Source organism: Homo sapiens, chromosome 3, assembly GCF_000001405.40.
Source record: "Homo sapiens chromosome 3, GRCh38.p14 Primary Assembly".
Classification (NCBI taxonomy): Eukaryota; Metazoa; Chordata; class Mammalia; order Primates; family Hominidae; genus Homo; species Homo sapiens.
Genome location: NC_000003.12, coordinates 41,173,169 through 41,194,993, shown reverse-complemented (window position 1 = coordinate 41,194,993; position 21,825 = coordinate 41,173,169). Strand labels below are relative to the sequence as shown.

The window sequence follows — 21,825 nt, the reverse complement described above, 5'->3', positions numbered from 1 at the left end:
TATTATTTCATGAAAACTGCAGCATTTTCCCCGCCCCCATCCAAACACTCACCACCCTAGCACTGCAGTATTCCGTCCCTCTTTGCTTCTCCTTCGTCTTCTTTTTCGCTTTCACAAATTCTGCACGCGCCATCTTTGTGTGGGGTGATTCTTTGCTAATTTCAGTTACCCATTCTCTTACAAATCAGTTCAGAAATAGAAAATTATAGTGCGCTTTGGGGCTTAATTTGCCTAAATTTCTTTCATTCTCCCCTTCTGACAGAAAAATGGAAACAACGGGGAAGAGGGGGAAGCCAAAAAGAGAGAGAGAGAAAGAGATATTTCTATTATTGCCATAACCTGTTGTATACAGTGGTAATAAAAAATATTATTAACATAATAGCAACAGCTGCAGCCTAAATAGAAGCTATGAGATAATTAATGTGCTACAACAAATTAATTTGCTGCAGGTGCTTCTGCTGTGAACTGAGTAACCCATGCCATATAAAGTCTAAATACAATTATGATTCCCCCCACACACTAAAACAAAATACTGAGTAAAATGTCCTGTTTAGTAAATATGCCTATTGAAAAAAAATTCTCCCCAGTTCTTTTCCCCCTGCCCCTCACCAATCCATGCTAAAAGGTTAAGTCATCAATGGGTAAGTGCAGAGTTGCATCGATGTGTATATGTATGTGTGGGTATGTATGGAGGTTATGGCATTTTAAAACATAGAGGTTTTATACTGTGTCTTAGTTGGAAAACATATGGATCAGCTATAGATTTCGTTTTAAAAATTATAAGTAGTTTATAATATGAGCTTCATTGGTTTCAGAACAAAAATTACATGTTTCCATGTTTATAGCTGGAAAAAAATAAGTGTTGAGCAATTACCTAACTGAATTAGTAATTTTAAAAAATCATCTATCTTATCAAAGAAGGAAGTGTGTTTATAGTGTAGCACTCTTTATTGATGCAAAAGAAAATTTTTTCCCTTTCACCTGCTGTCAAGTTCAGTGTTTAAGGAGAGTGGTTGCTGGTTATATTACAAGTGTGTGCCAGAAATATGTTGTATCAGAGTAACATGGGCAGGGCCTAGAGAAGGTCACAGTGCCAGAATAAAATGTCCGTTTTCTATTTTGTACCACTCAGTAAAAAATAACTTTGGGCCTAGAAAAGTGGAAGAACATACGGATTGAATTTTTTTTTAACTACTTGTCTAAAAAATTCTTAGGGTAAGGACGTAGTCATTTCTGATTTCTCTCCTAACAATGCTGCCCAAAGAAATGACATTTTTGTTTGTATTGCAGTCTTAATTTTTTGTTTGTTAAAAAGCAAAAGAAATAAATTTTCTCATGGCCAAATTGTAAAGTTTATTGGTTATTAAATTTTATTATATTGGATGATCTTAAAATTTAATGCTAAATCTTATAATACAATTGTTGCTTATACAATGTATATATTTTAACAGCATTTTGGTATAACTTTGCAGAAATTTTAGTTCTAAGCGAAGGTATAAAATTATTCAAACAGAGCACTGTTCCAGCTATACTCAGAAGGGACACTGCATTTGCGTGGATTTTCTTTAAAATATATTTTATTTCACATCCTCTTTTTAGGTGGACAAGCAAGGCTCTCAGTCATTACCATTCTCTGTGGAGAGGTACCGCACGTTTGTCACACCATTTCTCATGCAGCGATGGACATGCATTTTACTCCATCTTTCTTTTGTTTGTACTAAAGCTTTTTCTTCACAATCTGTTTTCAAATCTGTTCATGTTTTGAATTTACAATTGTAGAATTTGAGTTGGGGGAAAAGAAAAAGAAGCAAAGGTCATATTGATTTTCTTTTAAAAAGAAGAGAAAGAAATAGCCTATTCCTTGATAAAAATGAGGAAAGTGGATAAGTATGAAATATATACATCTCCACTGGGAATTTCTAGTAATTTTCATGTTAGCTGACTGTGTCATTCTACCAAATGGAACTTGCTGAAATCATATAGTTCTTTAATTATAAAATCGATTTGGGAAAAGAAAAAAGTACTTTAATTTCTGTTGCTTCAAGGGATTGTCCATTCAGAATATTTTTCTGGCCACTATAAATTGTATTAGAAACTAAGCTGTAAGAAATAAAGATAGTAAATGTCTAACACACATATTCCTTTTTCTTATTAATGTTCTTTTTTCATAGCAAACCTATCCCAGTTCTTTCAACCCTTCTTCATATGACTTACCTTTCAGAACCCTTATTCGTAGATTGTCAGTACAAGTGACATTGTGCCGATTCTGAACAATTTAAAAAAGGGTAGTTGTTGTAAGCCAATTTGTTTTGGGGTGGTTTGTTACATAAGGGGAAAGCTAACTAATAGAACAAAGGTAATTCAAATTTTGTCTTGTTTTAAATGATCACATCATACTGCTTATGATGGTTATGAGCTGCTTATCTTCTGACACAAACATTTCTAAAGATTTTTAATTGTACAATATTCTTAGTAAAATAATTTTGTATGTGCACCCCAGACACATATTTACTAAAATTATATACATGTACAGATGCCAATTATATACATTAAATATCAGTGAAGCTTGACTTCTTTTTTTAAAATAAAAAATAAATATAGTGGTTGTAGTCATTATTTCCTCATTCCAGTGGATCCTCATGTGCCTTCTGGGTTATAGTCACTCCATTCAGGACCACTATTCTAAAACTCTCAAATCTTTCCCATAATTAGCTTTAAAGCATTATTTTTACCTATTCCAAATTTGTGCAATTCATTTTTTAAAAACTAAACCCAGAGCTTGATTTATTATAGTTACTGATTATTGAAGAATCCTTTAGGGAATTACACCTTGATCTTTCCTATTAACTGACTTTCAATAAACTCCCTTTGGTAAAAACTGCCATTCACTTTTCTAGCAAATATTCCTAAAATATATACAGGTTTGTGGAGTTTCTTGCATCACCATTTTCTCTTGATATACACATACACACACACTATTTTAATAAGGAGTAATTAACAAAGAGAAAAGTATGCCTTTTCAATGTCAAAGGATTCTGAGGACCTCAATAATGTTTGTACTTTTAATAGCTGTTTGTTGAGAATCTATATAATGACAAAAAGCTACAAATTCAGTATTGATTTTAAACAAATATGTTTTATTAATTTCAGTGGCATCTGAATTTGAATACTATTTGCAAATAAATGTGGAAGACTCATTTTTCAGTGCATGAACACCGCTTAGGGCTTGTAATGGGGTCTTGGAGCCTTGTTTAACTGGATAGTTAGAAAGCCACTGCTATAATGAATACAGAAGATGCAAATCCCATTCTGATATGCATTAACCGTGTGACCTGAACAGGCTCTTTAGCTTCTCTCTGCGTCTTGGCATCACGGCTGTAGTAGTAGTAACAGCAGTGCTAGTAAGTCACAATAATCCCATTGGTGGCTTCCATTTAGTGACCTACCACCAAGTAAGAGCTTTGCACTTCATGACCCAGTGAACTTCACTCCTCATATATAAGGCCTCTTTTAACCATCACAACTAATGAGGTAGGGAAACATTGTTTTCTCCATTTTACATTTTGGAAATGAGACTTAGATAAATTATGAAGTTTGCTCAAGTTATAAGCTAAATAAACACAGAGCTGGGATTTGAACTCTGGACCTGTGCTGTTCAGTTCAATAGCCATTAGCCACATGTAGCTATTAAAATTTAAATTAAACTCCATATTTTAAGCACTCAGTAGCCATATGCAGCTACTATGTTGCACAGCACAAACAAAGAATATCTTATCATTGTGAGTTCCACTGGACAGTACTGAACTCTGCTGACCAACTGTGAAGCATGTACTTCACTGGATTTAATTCTTCCTCACCCATTCATTCCTTTACTTGTTCATTCATTCAACAAATATTTACTGAATACCAACTATGTGCTTGTCACCCCATGGGACACTGGAGAGTTATCTCACTGCATTGTGTTCAAGAGCAAATGAAATAGACATGAAAGAGTTGTTTGAGCTCTAAGGTTCTAGATAAAAGAGAAATACTTTTATGTTGGAGTGTAGGGAAATGCTGCTTCATTGAGAGCAGAGTCTGTGTTACCCTTCTTGAAGTCCTCTCTTCTGTCTCCTGTATACCCCTGCGCCCTGCATTTAGCAGAGTACAGTACCCATCAGAAGTGAATGCAAAGCCTTGCATTATAGTGCACATGGGTCAGTTTTTGCCTGTGAACCCTTTTCCTAAGCTTGGGGAATTCCCCAGGTAGAGTATTGTGGCCACATGAGCCATGGCAGCTGGAGCATGAAGTCCCCCCTCTGCCAATCAGGTGGTTCTGTTTGGGAACAGATGACACCAAGAAGCTGAGGCAACTTTAATTATTTCAGTGACTGCATCAGTAATGTTCTGTTTCTGTGTGGCTGTCACTTTACTGGAATTGTGATGGGTGATCTTGAAAGCAACTTTATTTTTGTCCACTCTTTGAAGCCTCCTTCATGAGAGTGTTTCTGAGTGACTTTCTCATATTTTGTCACAAGTAAGTTCTATGGTTACTGGGTTGCAAAACACAGTCCCAGTATATTAATCCACACTTTTATCTTTTAGTCAAAGGTAAAAATTCTCCCTCTCCCAGCTAGGGCTGTGAAGAGGCTGAGCTGTCTTCTTCCTCTCACCATCACATCCTCCCCACTGGCTAGCTGCAGTTTTGGTTCCCTTTGGGAATGGGGCCATGTGGAAAGGTAAGAGGAATGCAACATTTCTAAACAAACTGGTTACGGTCATAAACTGGCTTTTGCTCTTTGGGTCCAGCCAGTGTCTAAAGGTGGGCATTTTTATGGGTTCATCGGCAGCTCCCCTACAAACCCTTCTGACTCCCTCTCCCTTGAGCATGGTGGGACTACACTAAGCCCTTCTAAGGTTCTCTTCAAGGATTGTTCCCCAATCTTAGTCTCTCATCCCTTTAATTTGCTCACTGTTCCCAGTTCTGGGTCATTTGCTTTGACCTTTCTACCTGGTAATCTACCTTGCATTTCATTCCGACATCTAAAACTGTCATATTTTGGTGCCTCCGTTGACACTTCCGGTCTGACATCCTGTTCCTCTAAGGGACTCAGAGGGAACCAGGGCCAGTGGGTACGATGGCGACTCATCAGTTGGTTCTGTAGTTATTGCTACCTAGCCCCGTTGGGTTGCTGCTTGCATTTCAAGCCCACTGCTTCTATCCTTTCTGGTGATTCTGTAAACTATCCAATATCCTTCCAATACATTTCTTTTCTGCTTTAATCAGTCAGAGTCAATTCTATTCCTTGCAACTCAACACCTGGTTTGATAAATCTTCTATTTTGATTATTTTCTACTATTGTCTGTCTCCCTAGTTTGTATTTAGTCATTATATCTCTACTATTTTTCCAGATTTCAAAATAATACATGCATCATGTAAAGCATTCAAATAAATAAAAATGTATGAGATAGAATGAAAAAGTGCCCCATAATTCCATGCCAACAGATATCCATCAGTATTTCTAAATTTAATTTTCAAATTAAATAATGCATTCACGTGTGTGTGTGTGTGTGTGTGTGTGTCTGTGTGTGTGTCTGTGTGTGTATCTCTCTTGGACTGGTATACCAGGCCAGATTCATTAGCTCAGCTTGATTGGGTTATATAGCCTTCCTCTTTCTTTCTTTTTGTAACATATATGTTTTGTAGTAAAATTATTTTGTTTAGCTATAATATCCATCTCCAGCCACTAGAAATAAAAATTTCCATGGTCTCCAATAGAACCGAGTATCACATTCTTACAGAATGTCCATTTTATTATTAAAATAATTTCTAAACCACTCTATGTGCTCAACCTTCTGTTTTTACACTCAGATATGGGTTTGTGGAAAGGCCATAAGTCACCAGCTCCATGAAGTGGCAACCTGGTCCTTGCTTTGGAAAATCCTCCAGGTATTTATTCAGAAATATATATTTCTATATATAATTTCACCCTGTCTACCATTTCCCACCACCACCACCACTCTTACATTAATGCTATCATTAATTTATTCTGTATCCTGTCCACTTCTCTATGAAAATATGAATTTGTATTACTTTCCCTCTCTTTTTAAAATACAAAAGATAGTATAATTTTCTTGCACTTTATTTTTGTCACTTACATTATCTTGGAAATCTGGCCACATCAGTACTCAGAGTTCCGCCTCATTTGTTTTTATAACTGCATAGCATTCCTTGGTACCTTAGTTTATTTAACTAACCTCTCCCCATTAATGGACATTAGATTGTTTCTAAGCATTTGTCATTACAAACAGTGCTGCATAACAATTTTGCACATGTGTCATTTGCTACATGTGCAAATCTTAACTGTAGGATCAATTCCCGGAAGTGGTACTGCTGACTCAAAAAATATATGCACCAGGAGAGAAGAATCAGTATGACATTGTCAAATTGCCAGTATCTAATAGGCACTCCCAATGATCATAAGTTTTGTAACAATTTCCATTCTCACCAGCAACGTATGAGAATGCTTATTCTCTGGCAGTTTCATCAATGGAGGGTGTGTGGAAGATATGGCTATGCCCCACCCACACCCTGTAGACAAGTCATCTCTATACTACAGCTGCAACCCTCTGCCCCAGGGCTTTTTTTTTTTTTTTTTTTTTTTTGGCTTTAGGAGGGAGGTTTGACCTGTACGTGAGTGTGGGGATAGGGCAGAAGTGCCTGAGAGTTAATTTTCCACAAGCAGCCATCAAGCAATGATAGATAGGGGAGTAGGTGGATAAATACCCCTGCTTTGTCATTCCTAGAGGGGATAACACTAAAGTGTGTTCTACAACGTCTCCCACATTTCCCCATCTGAGCTCCAGGTCTCCATAGTGTTAAATGGAACACATCCTGATAACACATCCTTCTGGACTTCTCTCTCTCTCCTCCTCACTTCCCTGCTGGTGTTAGGTCCAAAATCATCTCCCAAATTAACTATTTAGACAAAATACTTGGAAGAACCCAGTCTAATTAGTTTGTCATCAAACTTTTGGAATTTTATAAATGACATCTCAGTGTAATTTGTGTATTTCTCTTTTGGATGAGGTTGGGCATATTTTCATGCATCTGAATATTTTTCTTTCTATTTCTGCAAACTGATGGGTATATATTTTGCCTGTTGATCTCTTCAATTTCTACAAAATCTCTATAGTAGGAAGATTCAGTCTTTGTGATACAAATATTTTTTCAGTTTGTTGTTTGTCTTTGTTTATGGTGTTTTTATGGGGTTTTTTTTTTTGGTTTCCTCCTCCTCCTCCTCCTCCTCCTCCTCCTCCTCCTCCTCTTCTTTCTTCTCTTCCTCTTCCTCATCCTTTTTTTTTCCCTTTTTTCTTTTTGTCATTCAGGATATTTTATTTTTACCTAGGCAAATTAATCAATCTTTTCTTTTGTATCTTCTGTATTTTGAGTTATAGTTAGAAATGCTTTTCTTATTCCAAGTTACAGAAGAATAATTCCATATTTTCTAATAACACTTTTAATTTTTATTTTTACATTTATATCTTTAATCTATTTGGAACTTATCTTAGAAGATGTTCACCAACTTTTATCTTCATTGTGATTTTTTTTTCTCTATAATCTCTCCCAGAATCACCCACTACTGTGAAGACTGCCCTTGGATTACTTTGAGCAAGATGTTGTATTTCACTGCCCTAACCTATTTCCTTTTGCAAATGATTATGAATCTCTTGGCTTTCCTCTTGACCTGGCCTTTGCTACCCTTATTAGCAGAAGAGTTTCCTGCTATAGCATCTCTCTATCTGGAATAGCCTCTTCTGTATGTTTTTATTTTATGAGCCTATATCTTATCTTTCCTGAAAGTGTACATTTTCTTCCTTTCCCTTAGCTCTTCATTTTTTCTTTCATTCTGCAGAAAAGGGCAGGGCAATTTGTGTGCCATTTTCATATGGTAATGGATCCAATCTCTCCTAAAATTGCAGTTGCAGCTTTTTTTTTTTTTTTTCTGAGAAAGAGTGTTGCTCTGTTGTCCAGGCTGGAGTGCAGTGGCACAAACATAGCTTGACCTCCTGGGCTCAAGCAATCCTCCTGCCTCAATCTCCCAAGCAGCTGGGACCACAGGAGCATGCCACCACGCCTGGCTATTTATTTTATTTTATTTTTTGTAGAGGCAGGATCTCGCCACATTGCCCAGGCTGGTCTCGAACTCCTAGGCTTAAGCAATTATTTTGCCTTGGCCTTCCAAAGTGCTGGAATTTCAGGCATGAGCCACCATGTCCAGCCAGCATATTTTTAATTGCAAGCTCAAAAACCAATGAAGAAGATTGAGAGGGCCCTAATGATTTTTAAAATCTGACTTTTGCAACTTATCACACTGCTATGAACAGTTTAAATTGATAGTTGTTTACTCTTAGTGAGAAAAAATATCAATAGATATTTAGATAGATGATAGAAAACATAAATAGATGATAGATAGATAGACAACCATGACTTTTATTCATCTCTAGAGTATCATAAACTGTTGCACAAATCACATGTGTGCATGAACTTGATTAAATTCAGTTGTTTTGGCCAAAGCAGACAAACTGAAAGGATTAAACCTCTTCTGATTTATTGCTGCCTGTTTGGCCATCCCTTAGCTGTGGTTTTTAAAAATATTGTTTTTGTGCTTCTGATACCTTTTAATGATATCTCGGGCCAATTCTACCCCCAAATGTGGGTGAACCATACTCACTGATCTTTGACTTTTTTCTAGTTGAGTAGCATTCACAGACACATAGTTTCTTCTTAGAAAGAAGGAAAGAAGCCCATCATATTCTATTGTCCTGCTTGATACTGTCTTATCATTGACTCAGAGGCCCTACTGAGCATGAGACAAAGAAACCAGCCATAATTCCTTCCTCTTATGGGTGTTTTAAGCTCCTTCTGCCCATATGTGATAGAAAGAAAGCATGCTTACAACTGTAATCCCAGCGCTTTGGAAGGCTGAGATGGGTTGATCACCTGAGATCAGGAATTTGAGAACAGCCCTGACCAACATGGCGAAACCCTGTCTCTACTAAAAATACAAAATTAGTCTGGTGTGGTGGTGCATGCCTGTAATCCCAGCTACTCAGGGGGCTGAGGCAGGAGAATTGCTTGAACCCAGGAGGCAGAGATTACAGTGAGCCTAGATCGTGCCATTGCACTCCAGGCTGGACAACAAGAGCAAAACCCCGTCTCAAAAAAAAAAAAAAAAGAAAAAAGAGAAAAGAAAGAAAGCTTGCTACCTCTACCTGTTTACTCAACTGCCTTTGTGTGTACCAGCCTCTGCTTGCATTACCTGGGAAGAAAATATTCCTGCCTGTTGCAAATGGAATAAACTGTGAGATCAACTTTTCCAAATACTTTCCAAAGCCTTACTTTTTCTTGCATGAGACCAGAGGAGTAAAACTGGGTGGCCTAATGCCCGTCTCCCTATCAGTTCTCCGTTCTCTCTGCAAGTTTTCAGTGTAGCCTCTGTGGAAACTTCCATCGCAGACATCTCCCAGGGACCCCCACCCTCCTCATCAGAATACTCCTCCCCTGGGTGTCACTAGCTGTGGGATTGTAAGGACCATTATAATAAAGGTGACAATGACAGATCTCAAGGAAGTGGAGCTCCAAAGTGAGGGAGGGAGGCACATCAGAGAGAATGGGCTCCGCAAGCCTGATAATGAGCATGGAGAGGACTTTTTCTGCTTATGGGTGAAAAAGACAGGGAAGTCTCTGTTTGAAGACAAAGCACATAATAATGTGATCACAGAGCCTTCCTAATGGGGCCGATGTGATGTTCAGAATATGTATTCTTTTCACTGCCTTATTCTTATATTTCAGTGGAAAAGGTCTTCAATTAAGTATTTACTTAATGCATCCAACCCAGTGATGCTTCACTCTAGCCAAGATATTTATACAGCAAAATTATACAGAGGATATTACATTTAATTGACTGAATAACCTTGAGTCTCATGGGTAACTTTTTCTGGACTTCTTCCCTCAGTTGGAAAGATAAAAAAATGTTTGGTCAGGAATAAACCCCTTAGTAGTATTGTCAATTTATATTTCCAAAGGATTTTCTAATAGGCTTGGGTGTTCCTTTCCTTTTTCTTCTCCCAAAAGGTAAGGAGGCTTTTATGGAAATTTATAACTTGGTTCAACCAGTACTGCCAGCACTGCCAGCTTCCTGTGTAAGGAGTGCCCTGTTTCCCCCGAGTCTGAATTTGGGGATCAAGCCCTCATCCCCTTGGTGTTCAGGAAGAAACCAGGCCACACCCCTGCCTCATGTGCCAGAGGTGGCTCCTGCTCTCTACATAGCAGGACATGCAAATGCTCACATTTCTCTTAGTCTGGGACAAGGGACCAGATTCATTAGCTCAGCTGTATTGAATTGACACAGGCTTTCCCTTTCTTTCTTTCTCTTGATTTGCCAGTCACTGAGCCTGGCAATCACAAAGGCACTCCAAAGCTGTGACTCTGTCAAGCAAATGTGGAGAATGGGGGACTTCCCAGAGCTATTCTTTTCCATAAGGCTTTCTGGATGGTTCCTGAAATGAGGAGCAAGAGGGATTGTCTCCCAGCCCTATCTACTTTTTACTTTGGGCTGGGGATATAGAGGAAGATGAGGAATGACTGTCAGTGGGTATGAGGTTTCTTTTGGGAGTGATGGAAATATTGTAAAATTGATTGTGGGAATCATTGCAAAACTTTGTGAATATATTAAAAATTACTGAATTGTACACTTTAAATGGGGAAATTATATGGTATGTGAATTATACCTCAATAAAGCTGTTATAAAATTTATTCGTATATTTTATTGTTAACAATTAATCCTATTTTTCTAGGATCCAATCCTTAATGCATCTCAGGATATGCATCTCTCAAGAGCAGTACATGGCCACCTGTGACTAAGTGCAGGTGTCAAAAGATATGAGCAGAGTTTGTACAAAGTTTATTCCTGTGATAGACTCAGAAGTTCATACGGTTCTTATAAACGCTATTATGTAATGCATTCATGTCAAAACAGGGAATCTAATTTTTAGATGTGCAACAGATAGGCTAACACTAATTTTTAAAGTTAGGTAAGTAGAACTTCAGAAATACATATTATCTTATCATCACTACCTCCCCATCTTCAGGTGCTTCCTGATTTACTGGCTAGAGGGATCACGTGTGAACATTCCCAGTGGAACGTCATACTTTAGCATTTTCTGAGGGATGCTGCAGGTGGGAGCTGAATGCAGGGTGTGTCCTGCCTACATCTTAGATCACCTGTACCATTCTGTGACCCCCCTTCCCCACTTTGGTGTTCACCTCCATAAGCCAGTATGTGCATTCTTTTATTTCACTCTCTTTTAATTAATTAATTATTAGAGATGAGATCTCACTCTGTTGTCCAGGCTGGAATACAGTGGCTACTCAATAATAGGTATTTCTGAGGTTCTATCTACCTAACTTTTAAAAATTAGTGTTACCCTATCTGTTGCACATCTAAAAATTAGATTCCCTATTTTGAAATGAATACATTACGTAACCTCAAACTCCTGGACTCAAGTGATGCTCCCGCCTCAGCTTGGGACTAGACTACAGGAGCTAGAGATGTGCACCATCATGCCTGGTCCTCAGTTCTGTTTTAGAAGATTACCCTTGGTCTACTGGAACCCACTTTGTCCACATGCACAAAGAGCTAGCAGTGCCTGTAAATTATGTGCCCACCCACATGGAGAGTGGTCCTTAGTCAATGACCGAGGGGTGCACATAGAGAGAGATGAAATGCCATCTCCTTTGTCTCAGGTCCAGACAACTCTGAGGCATAACTCACACTCCAGAGCTCCCTGTGGGATCAGGCCGAAGCCACCCCGCAAGGGACTCTGACCACAGCCTTGCTTGGCTTCTTCTCCTTTCCTGTCTTGCCTCCCCTGTTTCCTTACAGACCTTTCTGGCAGCACTTCCTTTATAAATCATCTGAACACCAATCTTTATCTCAGAGTCTGCTTTTAGATAACTCGACCTAAGACCACACTCAACATATCTGGCCGATCAGTGTGTTCAGTGTGATCAGGATTCCTGCCTGGACATGCTATATGTAGAACTGGTCTGTGCATCTCAACTGGCTGTGGGGATCTGGACAGGCCTTTCTCTCTGGAGCACTGGAATGCTTGGGCAGGTGAGGGATCAGCTAGGATTTGTCATTTTTCCTGTATTTCCTCAAAGGCCTTGATGAAACACAGCTCCTCAGGCTGGGCTTGTGGCTCCAGGGCAGCTTTGACCAGAGTAAGGGTAGGAGACTCTGGCTGAGTCCTACCAGCCCAAGGACAGTGACTCTACCCCTGCCCCTCCCCCATTCATGCCGCTCTATGCACGGGTGTGAAAGTGTGGGTTTCAGGGAAGATTTACTCTTACTTGGACTCTAACCTGGGCCCCAGGTGAGGCCCCTGAGCATCCTCCTGGCCTCTTACTCTTTTCACCCGAGTCTGCCACTGCCCTAGGAGACCCTAACCATTTTGGCTTCAGAAGATATTGTCCTCTACTTCATGGCCTTTGCATGGTGAGGGCCAGTGTAAGGTTTCCTACCAGCTGAGCATGTCAGTGTGCCTTCCTAAGACAGACAGCTTAGGTTCTGGTTTGCCCTTCAACACTCATTGGCTGTGAGAACCTGGGCAATTCACAAACCTCTCTGAACCTCTCTTTCCTCATCTGTAAGATGTGGAAGTCTCTACCTCATTGAGTAGTTGTGAGAATTAAATGAAATAATAAATGTAATACACTTAATCCAGAGTCTAACACATGAAAAGCACTCAATAAATACCTAGTTACTATCGTTTTCTACTTAAAAAAATTTACACAATTGTCAGTTATTTATATGATCATCAGTTTTCAACTGGTTGAAGTTTCATTGATTTACCAAATTTAGAACATATGTTCTCTCTGAAATAAAATATAGTATACATGGCTTGAATAAAATTCACTTTGGGGACTCCGAGGACACTTTATACAGAGGGACAATTACTTTCTAGAGCAGGAAAAACTGAGAAACAATGACAGGCCTGAGACACTACTGATGGAGAAAGATTTCAGGATGGGGAAAATAAATGACGGTTCCTACTGCGAGCCCCTCATAGAGGTACAGAGAGAAGTTGATTTGCAGTTGAGCTGCTTCTTGCGTGGGCAACTGTGTAATGCTCTCCAGGATGAGTGGCATCAGGGACTTACTTGTTTAACAATAGTTAAGGGTTTTCACCAGCACCTGGGGGCACATGGTTAGTACAAACGTGAATGTGCAGATGAATTATTTCTCACTTACAATGGTACTGACCAGGCAGATCATTTGGTGTTTTAGGATCTAGCCCACAATATTTCTCACATTTCATATATGTCCTTTTAACATCTACCATCTAAAATTGCCATACCGATACAAAACATACCTAAAACACAATAAAGGTTGCCAAGCCTCTATTACTCAAAACTGCAGAGAGAACAAAAGATGAAACTGATCTATGCTGTGGAAGTAATAAAGGTGGCTACCTCCTAGAGGAGGATGTAAGGGGCCTTCTGGGGAAGTTTGGAGCTTGGAATGTCCTGTTTCTTAAACTGGGTGCTATTTCATGGGTGTGTTTACTTTGTGAAAATTCAGCAAGCTATACATTATATGTACTTTTCTCCATGTTTGTTTTACTTCAGTAAGAAGACAAAACAAAGGCAGTATCAGCTACATCTTAACATACGGAAACAAGAAAATATCTAGGTGCAGATTTTGAGTCTTTCTGGTTACATTTGGAAGCAGAATGAGGCAGACACTGCTGACTAACCTCAGATGGATTCCTTCCTCCCTCCCTCGCCTACTCTGAGATGGGCCAAACTCACTTTTCCAGCTGCCCTTCAGCTGTGACAGGGACCAGTGAGACGGAAGAAATTATTTGCTGGGGACAGCCGAAAAAGCTTTTACTTTCGTGATTAAAGGAACAGAGAAAACCGGTATCATGCCTTTGCCCCTTTCTCCTGCCTTGAACACAAACGTGAGGTCTGGAACCTGGGCAGCTGTATTATGGCAACAAGGGGGAGATCAAGGGAAAGTCAGAAGCACTGCCTCTGAGATTTATTATGGGAGAAGAAATGTTTTTTATTTATTTAAGATAAGTTAGTCTTTTTCTTGTTGTTCCTGCTACTTGCAGCAAAGAGCATTCCAAATGGACACACAGATCTCCTCCTCTCCTCTTTCCTTCTCTTTCTTTGAGATTGAGTTCACTATGACCAGGAAATTAGCTGACTTTTGACTATAACAAAACTATATCTCTCTTCTTTGAGACTGAGCTCACTATGAACAGGAGATTAGCTGAGTATTGACTATAACTGTCTTTCTGGCTTTGTAGTGACTAATAGGTCTGAACTCCAGTAACTTATCACTTATAGCCATTTTATAATGCTCATTATAAAATTTACAACACACACTTTGTATAACAGATAGGTCAGGTGTATAAAATGGTATAGCAACAGTGCAGCAGTGTCCATGACCATCCCTTGACGACGTTATGGGAAAAAGAGGTATGATGGTCAAATGGAAAACACATGGACCAACTTAACTAGGTTACTTAACTGTGGGATAGTCAAAGCCCTTTATACGCCAATATGCAGAAGGAAGAGCTGAATTGATTTCCAAACCCTTTATGACAGTCAACTTCTGGGACTGGCCTTTGGGGAATGCTACCTCATAGACCTGAGATGGAAGTGCACTTTTGGCTATATCTTACTTTTTCCCAGTCCAGCTGAGGGCTATGCTCTTTGGAGAAATGTACTAGAGGGTTAATAGCATAGAGATGTTATCTGCATACATTTTCCTGCCCCTGAACATCCCAGTGGAGACATGGATAAACCTGCAGTTTACATGTTAAATCAATGAAAGAATCAAACTTAGGGTAACATCATAAGGGTCATGGGCTCATGGGGTACCACTTATTCATACAAATCTCTACTTAGGATGACCCTATTCCCTGTTTACTCAAATGCTACCTATATTTCAAGACCTTGGTTCAGTCTCCTCTACCATAAGACATTTTCTGAACGTAACAACCTATAGTTCTCCTTTAAGCTCCAAGCACATAGAGTTAGAGGGCACAAAGAGTCAAGAAAGCCTTACTTTCTGTCTTCTCAAATGTACTATATTAAAATAAATTATGCTTTGCTGCAGTAATAAGCAAAGTCAGAAATATCAATGGCTTATTACAAAAAGGATTTATTTCTTGTTTACATATAATGCAATGCCTATTGAGCACTTTCCCCTGTCTTTATGCTTCTGGAATATGTAGCCTCCAAGAAGGAGAAAGATGGAGGAGAGGCAATAATTCTTAACTATGTTGATTTGCAATCCAGAACTTGCACAGGTCCTAACCTAATTGAAGGGAGACTGGAAATGAATGGAGCACATGTTGATAAACATTAACTCTCTCTGTTACATTTTCTTATGAGATCATATTTCCTATTAATTTATAAGCTTCTTAAGAGCAGGTGTACCTTGTACAGTGGTCACCTCTGTTGCTTTTGTCTGCCCACCATCTGTTCTCCTTTTTGCTAGTACAGTTCTCTGCGTTACCCCTCCTTTACTCTAAAGTCACATGGCTCCAGTGGGGATGACTCTACCTTCTGTAAGAGGTATGTGGTCCAGGCTTGACCAATAGGACCAACTTCTGGGATTATTTTTTGGAAATTATAGGAAAGGGGCCCCCTCTCTTTCTGTTGCACTTAAAGCTTGGAGCTGCTTGGGGACACCATATAAAGAAAACTTGATTGGGAATGAAGTCAACACAGAAAAAAGCAGAGCCAGGAGGTAGAGAGAGAAAGACATGGAAGTCTTGGTGACATTGCTTGAGCCCCAGCAGGGCTAGACTTATGGGTATGCAACCTGTGCAGTCACACAGGGGTCTGAGCTTAGAAGGGCCCTCTGCTTTTATATTGTTATCTTGAAATTCTTAATGATTTTTGAAAAGCGACTCAACACTTACATTTTGTATTGGGCCCTGCAAATTATGTAACCAATCCTGGCCCCTGGATTTGACCATACCTGAAACCACGAATACTCCTACTGGATTTTTTTCTTACAAAACTCACCAAATTTCCTTTGGGCTTCTGTCACTTGCAGCTTACATAAAGCTATGTTCACAGTCTGGGTTCCCAGTTGCAAACCTCAGGAATTCATTCTAGGCAGTTTAAGTGGAAAAGGAATTTGTTTAAGAACATTAGATAATTCACAGAATCTCTGAGAAGGCCGGAGGTACACACATGAAAGCCTAGTGACCAAGAACAGTGGCCAGATTTCATCACAGATCTGCCTCCAGGAATATACCCCTGGGCACAAATATTGTGTTAATTCCCCTGAGTCTAGGGTTTGGATGCTTCTTAGAATAATCTGCTGCAATGTTTGGCAGAATGAATTCCCTATGGCACCAACTTCATGGTACTAGTTTCCCAGGCAAAGCCTCAAGTGAGTGTATCAGATCAGTAGATCCTAAGTCCCCTGCCTATATCTTAGCAGCAAGAGTGGATGGGCAGGAGCGATTCCAGCTTCTACCCTGGGGATGCATCACAAACCATGGAACTCCCCCAAAGATGGGAAGATGTTGGGCAGCATCCAGAAATAACCAATACCCACTGCTTATATACATTAAATTCTACTGAGGACTGTGCATGTTCATGAATATGGAATGAATCAACCAATGCACACACTTTCTGCTATTCTTAGCAATTATGGGATCTCCCAGTGTTCCACCCCAACCAATCCTTAGGACACCGACCCCCTGATGCCCTTTTTTAGTGCTGTTCTAGGCTCACTCTCTGACTCCACTTCCCTGGTAATCTATTTTCCACCCACCAGGGATCCCAGCTGGAAAAAGATGGGTACCTTTCTGCAGAGGAAAATACAACCCCACTCTTGGGTTCTAAGCCAATTTTTTTTTTTTTTTTACCTGGAGGCAGGTGGAAAGGAGCTTGCTGGATATTGTTGGCTGCCACAAAGCAAGTCCCACACACTTAACTGCAGCTGGCCGGTAAGAAACCCATTTCTATGCAAAAACATCTTGTTATTGCTAATAATTTTTATGCCAGCTTCCAGCCCATTTATAAAGAATATTTTTTCAGAATCAGATGCTAACAAAATAATGAACAAAATAAAATGTACAGAATTGGTAATTATCAGTTTCCTTTGATGAATCCACCCTAGAGTTTATCAGCAATCTGAAGTAAAAATTAAATAGAACAAAAGAGTGCCTTTGGGAGGGGCATGAAATCAGCATTTAAAAACAACAGTTTCATCCATTTTGTACCTTTGCATTGAATACATTTATTTCAAAGGAGAGGCTGGAGTGTAGATGGTGAAAATGGACTGAGAGGCTGCTGTGGACAAGATGGGCTTCCTGGTGTTTGGCAAGAGGCTCTAGGTGGCTGGCCTGTGGGGAGTATGTCTTGGTCTCAGAGGGGTGAGTTTTTGCAGACACCAGCAGGGCCCAAATCATGTCTAGATGGGGTGTGACTCTACCAGGGACTCGAGGGCATGCCAGATTTAGAATTAAAAAAGAGCAAACAGCTGTTCCTTGTCTCTGTATCTCCATCTTGGATCAGCTTCTGAGCTTCATTTTCTGAAGCTCCTCTGCTGGTTGGGAAGGGGTTGGTATGAACTGGGCTCCCCTAAGATGCTGCTCTCTAACCCCAGTTGGAAGAAACGACAACAGGACTTCACTCTCCCAGAGAGGCCAGGGATTGCAATAGCCTTAAGAGAGTCTGTCAGAGTTCTGTGGCTCCAAACCCTTTTATCTGGCAATCAGTCAAAGACGTGTGGTAGATGCTTAGTAAACATTCGCTGCACAAATGCGTGTTCACTTCTCAACAGCCTTTGTCGGTGCTATTTCTACTACCTGGAGTATGCTTTCCCTTTCCTTGCTTCCCATTACTCACTAAAGCCTCTTGGAATTTTGACAGAAACCATTTAAACATAAAATGAAGCCCATAAATCTTGAGGGAGAAGTATTCTCCTGAATGCCAGGAATGCAGTTCAGTCCCCCACCAGCCAGGTTCACCTCCTGACAGCGCCAGTCCTCAGACACAGCTCCCCCATATTGCTAAAGGAGGGAGAGTAACACATATTGAATTCTGTGTGGCCACTGAAAAAGGCATCCGCATCCTCTGTGGAAGGTGCTAAATAACCCTGTGCCGTGCATTTTCACTGACCTTTAAACCCAAACAAAATAGATGAAGAACAGCTGCAGAGACAAGCAGGGCAGCTTGAGAGATTCACTTTTTAAGCATTCAGCTGCCTCTGGGAAAGCTCCTCTGTGTTCCCAAGTGCAGGTCTTTAAGTGCAATGCCACTTCTCTTATGCAACCCTGGCTGAGACCCTCCCTGTCCAGCCTCCTTTGGGCTGTGGTCTCACGGCCCCTCTTCTGTAGGAGGTGTTGAAGCTTTCTTCACATTGGAGGGGAAACAGAGCACACATAACTCAGCTGCTGTCTCTGAGATGCCAGAACCCCACCCTCCAGTCTCCAGGAGCCCTAGCAATGGTTTTAAACTCACAATGCAACTCAGTCCTTTCTGGGTCTTTGGGAGGTCACTTTCTGAACTGAGAGTCCCTGCCTGCATCCTCTGAGATTAGGGTGACCAAGTAGAGTTTCCTTCTTTTTCCCCAAATCTGGCCAAGCTTTCCAGGATTCTTGCAGGAATAGTAGGGCAAGTTGCAACTTACCACTAAGACACTTCTGAATCCTTTCTATTAAACAGGATGAGTAAGTCCTCAAAGAAGGCAAAAGCATCTTTTCAAAAGAGATGGCAAATTTGTAGCTGCTAACACATGCTAAAAATATACACAGAAGAATAAGTAACATGCTATAAAGTGCCCTCCCCATTCTGAACTTCGAAGCAGCTTCAGTACCCCCATCTTAACCTGGGAAATGTATGACCAATACATTAGGACATGCCTGTGATTAGAAATCCCAGCTCCACCATTTTCTGGCTGTGTGATCTTCAAGTTACTTGACCTCTGGGTCTCAGTTTGGTGATCTGCAAAATAGGCACAATAATTATACCGCCTTGTGTGGTTGCTGTGAAGGTTAAACAAGACAGGACAGGTGAAGGGCTTAGCGCAGTGTCTGGAATGTGCAGTAGGAGCTCAGGGAATGTCAAACATTACCCCATTACTCAGATGTGGCTGGAGGAGAGAGTAATAAGCCTGATAGGGGGCTAGAATCCTGAAAGATGGACTCTTGAGGAGTGCAGAGGGTATAAACTAGGGTTTTGGGCCAGCAGCAGATGCTATTGTCCCTCAGAGTCAGGAGCCATGCTTTCAACTCTGACTGGCCTCCCTGGTGTGAACGGCTGCCTCAGCCTGGATAACCTTTAAAATGAGCAAAGCCATAGGGTCAGAAGGTTTTGCTTTCTCCCTATGATTGACTCATATAATTACCACTCTCCCTGGGGGTTTGACTGGCCAGAGATGAGCTCAAGAGAAAAGGAAGGGCTGGATACCAATAGGAACTTCTGCCCAGCCCTAAGGAATTTGAAGTTTCTGAAAGCCAGGGTAAGTATTCCAAAGGTTTTAAGCAGGAGGATGATCAGAATTATATTTCTGAAAAATCACAAAGGAGGAGGGTGTATGCTCCTCTACAGGTATCTGTAGAGGGCCATAGAGACAGAATGGAGAAGGTGAGAGAGACTCATTAGTCATTTGTGTAAGAGATGACCCACCTAGACCAAGACAGGGCAACAGAGATGAAGAGAGAGAAATGAGGAGAAGGGATATAAGTGAGATTTGAATAGAATTGGCTGAGTTTGGTAAACAGTTGGATGTAGATGAGGTCTGCACCATGGTGGTTAGCACCAGCTGTAGATGGGCCACCCAGAGAAAGAAAACTTACCATGAACACAGCAACGGCTTTGACATTAACTCATCTGAGTGACAAATCAGATCCCAGCATGGATGTGCACTACCCACCCTGGAGATCCTTAGGGGTCTAGGCTGCACCTCCAAGAGCTGATGCTTTTGGAGAACTTCAAGAATCCACAGGGAGATTCTGTGCAGTGCCAGATGCTGGGGAGATTAGTGTTCTCAGAGGAGTGTTAGCCCTCCCTTCCTGCTTCCCAGGCCTTGCATATGGCTGCCCCACTCCCTCCTTCTTCCCCTCCCCTGCACATCCACCATCATGTGGGAGGAAAGCCTGGGGTGCAGTAAAGTCTTTGCCCCTGAGAGAAATCTTTGCCTGTCCTGAATCCCTGGGGATGCCTTCTAGGGAGCAGGGGGCCTCCAGGGAGCGTTGCTTTCTTGCCTCTGAGTCTCTGCAGAGCCCCAGCTGTCAGCAGGAGACAAGAGGGCAACATTCCCTGAGGCTTGGCGCTACTGTGGAGAAAGCACATTGGCTCCAGGAGCCTCCACTCTGGCAAAGGAGGAGGCAAGGGTGACAGCTGTGCCTGGTGAGATACACAGACGCTAAGAAAAGACAGAAATACACCAGGCTGTGTTTTGTACAACCAACTAAAACAAAGACGGGCGAAGCAACTCAGGCCTCCCTGAGAAATGGCTTGAGGCACAAGATTGACCACAGCCTCTTCTATATTTAAGGAGGCTGCTCATTTACTCAACATAGGCCTTGTAGACATGTCATGTTAAAACAACATCTCTCCATTGTATTACTCTCCTCCCAGAATGCTGTATCTCTGGAGTTTGATGTCAGAAGAGGCCTTTACTTAATTTCCAGGATCTTAGCTTTGTGAAACTAGGGCTTTTTCTGTGTTCTAGAATGTCACCAAACTCTCTGAGAAGAGTCTCAGTGTTAATGAAGCATCTGATTCCAGCGCAGGGAAGTGGGGCTGAACATTTTTCTACCAGTAGGGAATTCAGGACAGCTGCATTCATGTTGCCAACTCTCTTCCTCTTAGCTTCCAATCGAGACTTTGGTTTGGTGTTGTAATTAGTTATGCCCTAAAGCAGAGTTTCTCATCCTTGGCACTACTGGCATTTGGGGCCACATACTTCTTTGTTGTTTGGGGCTGTCCTGCATATTGTAGGATGTTCAGCAGTATCCCTGGCATCTAGATGCCAGTAGCAGACCCCCTCCCCTAAGTTATGACAACCAAAAATGTCTCCAGACATTGTCAAATGCCCCTTGGTGGACAAAATCAGCCCCAGTGATGACCACTGGTTTGAAGGAAGGCCTCTGGTTAGAAGTGGCATCTGGTTCCCTATGCAGAGTCCAATTCTGCTCTGACATTTGTCCCATGAGAAAAGTGAGGAGGATATGAACATTTGATTCCAAGCACCAGTCCTAATAATGAATGGCCTCCTCGTCATACCCATTGGGTGAACCAGGCTTCAAAGCCTATATCCACTTCTTGAGGGTAAGAGGAGGTGAATTTCAGGTGGGTCACAGGTGCAGCATTAGAAAATATTGAATCAAAAGCACGAAGTTTATTTTCTTTCCAAGCTTCATTCAGACCTACTGAAGTCTTTGGTTTGTACTGGCATTTCTTTTTTTTACCTTGTTAACACATCTTTGCTAATTTCTTTTTCCCCTGCCTACTTTATCTCCTGCGTTAGCGTTTCTGTTGTGCATTGTTCTATCATTCTAGTGGTTGGGTGCCCTAGAAATTATAAAATACATCCTTAACTTATTGCAGTCTACTTCCAATTACTACTTTTATTACAACCTGAACTATGCAAGACCCTTACAATTTAAATGTATTTATTCTGTTCCTGCCTGTTTGGTCCTGAGGTCGTCTGTTTTATACACACACACACACATACACACACACACTATTGTTATTCTTTGCTTTCAACAGGGAACAATTTTTGTATTTAC

The 21,825-nt window shown here is 40.8% G+C and overlaps 1 pseudogene, besides 1 other annotated feature; it reads right to left on the bottom strand.

The window, feature by feature from the left end:
• Positions 4,369–4,418: a silencer, noted in NCBI's record as "silent region_14236". NCBI's record gives its function as "represses an Ori minimal core promoter by ATAC-STARR-seq in GM12878 lymphoblastoid cells {active_cell/tissue: GM12878}" and the evidence as "EXISTENCE:reporter gene assay evidence [ECO:0000049][PMID:35858748]".
• On the bottom strand, positions 5,752–5,964 carry MRPS31P1 (mitochondrial ribosomal protein S31 pseudogene 1; annotated as a pseudogene).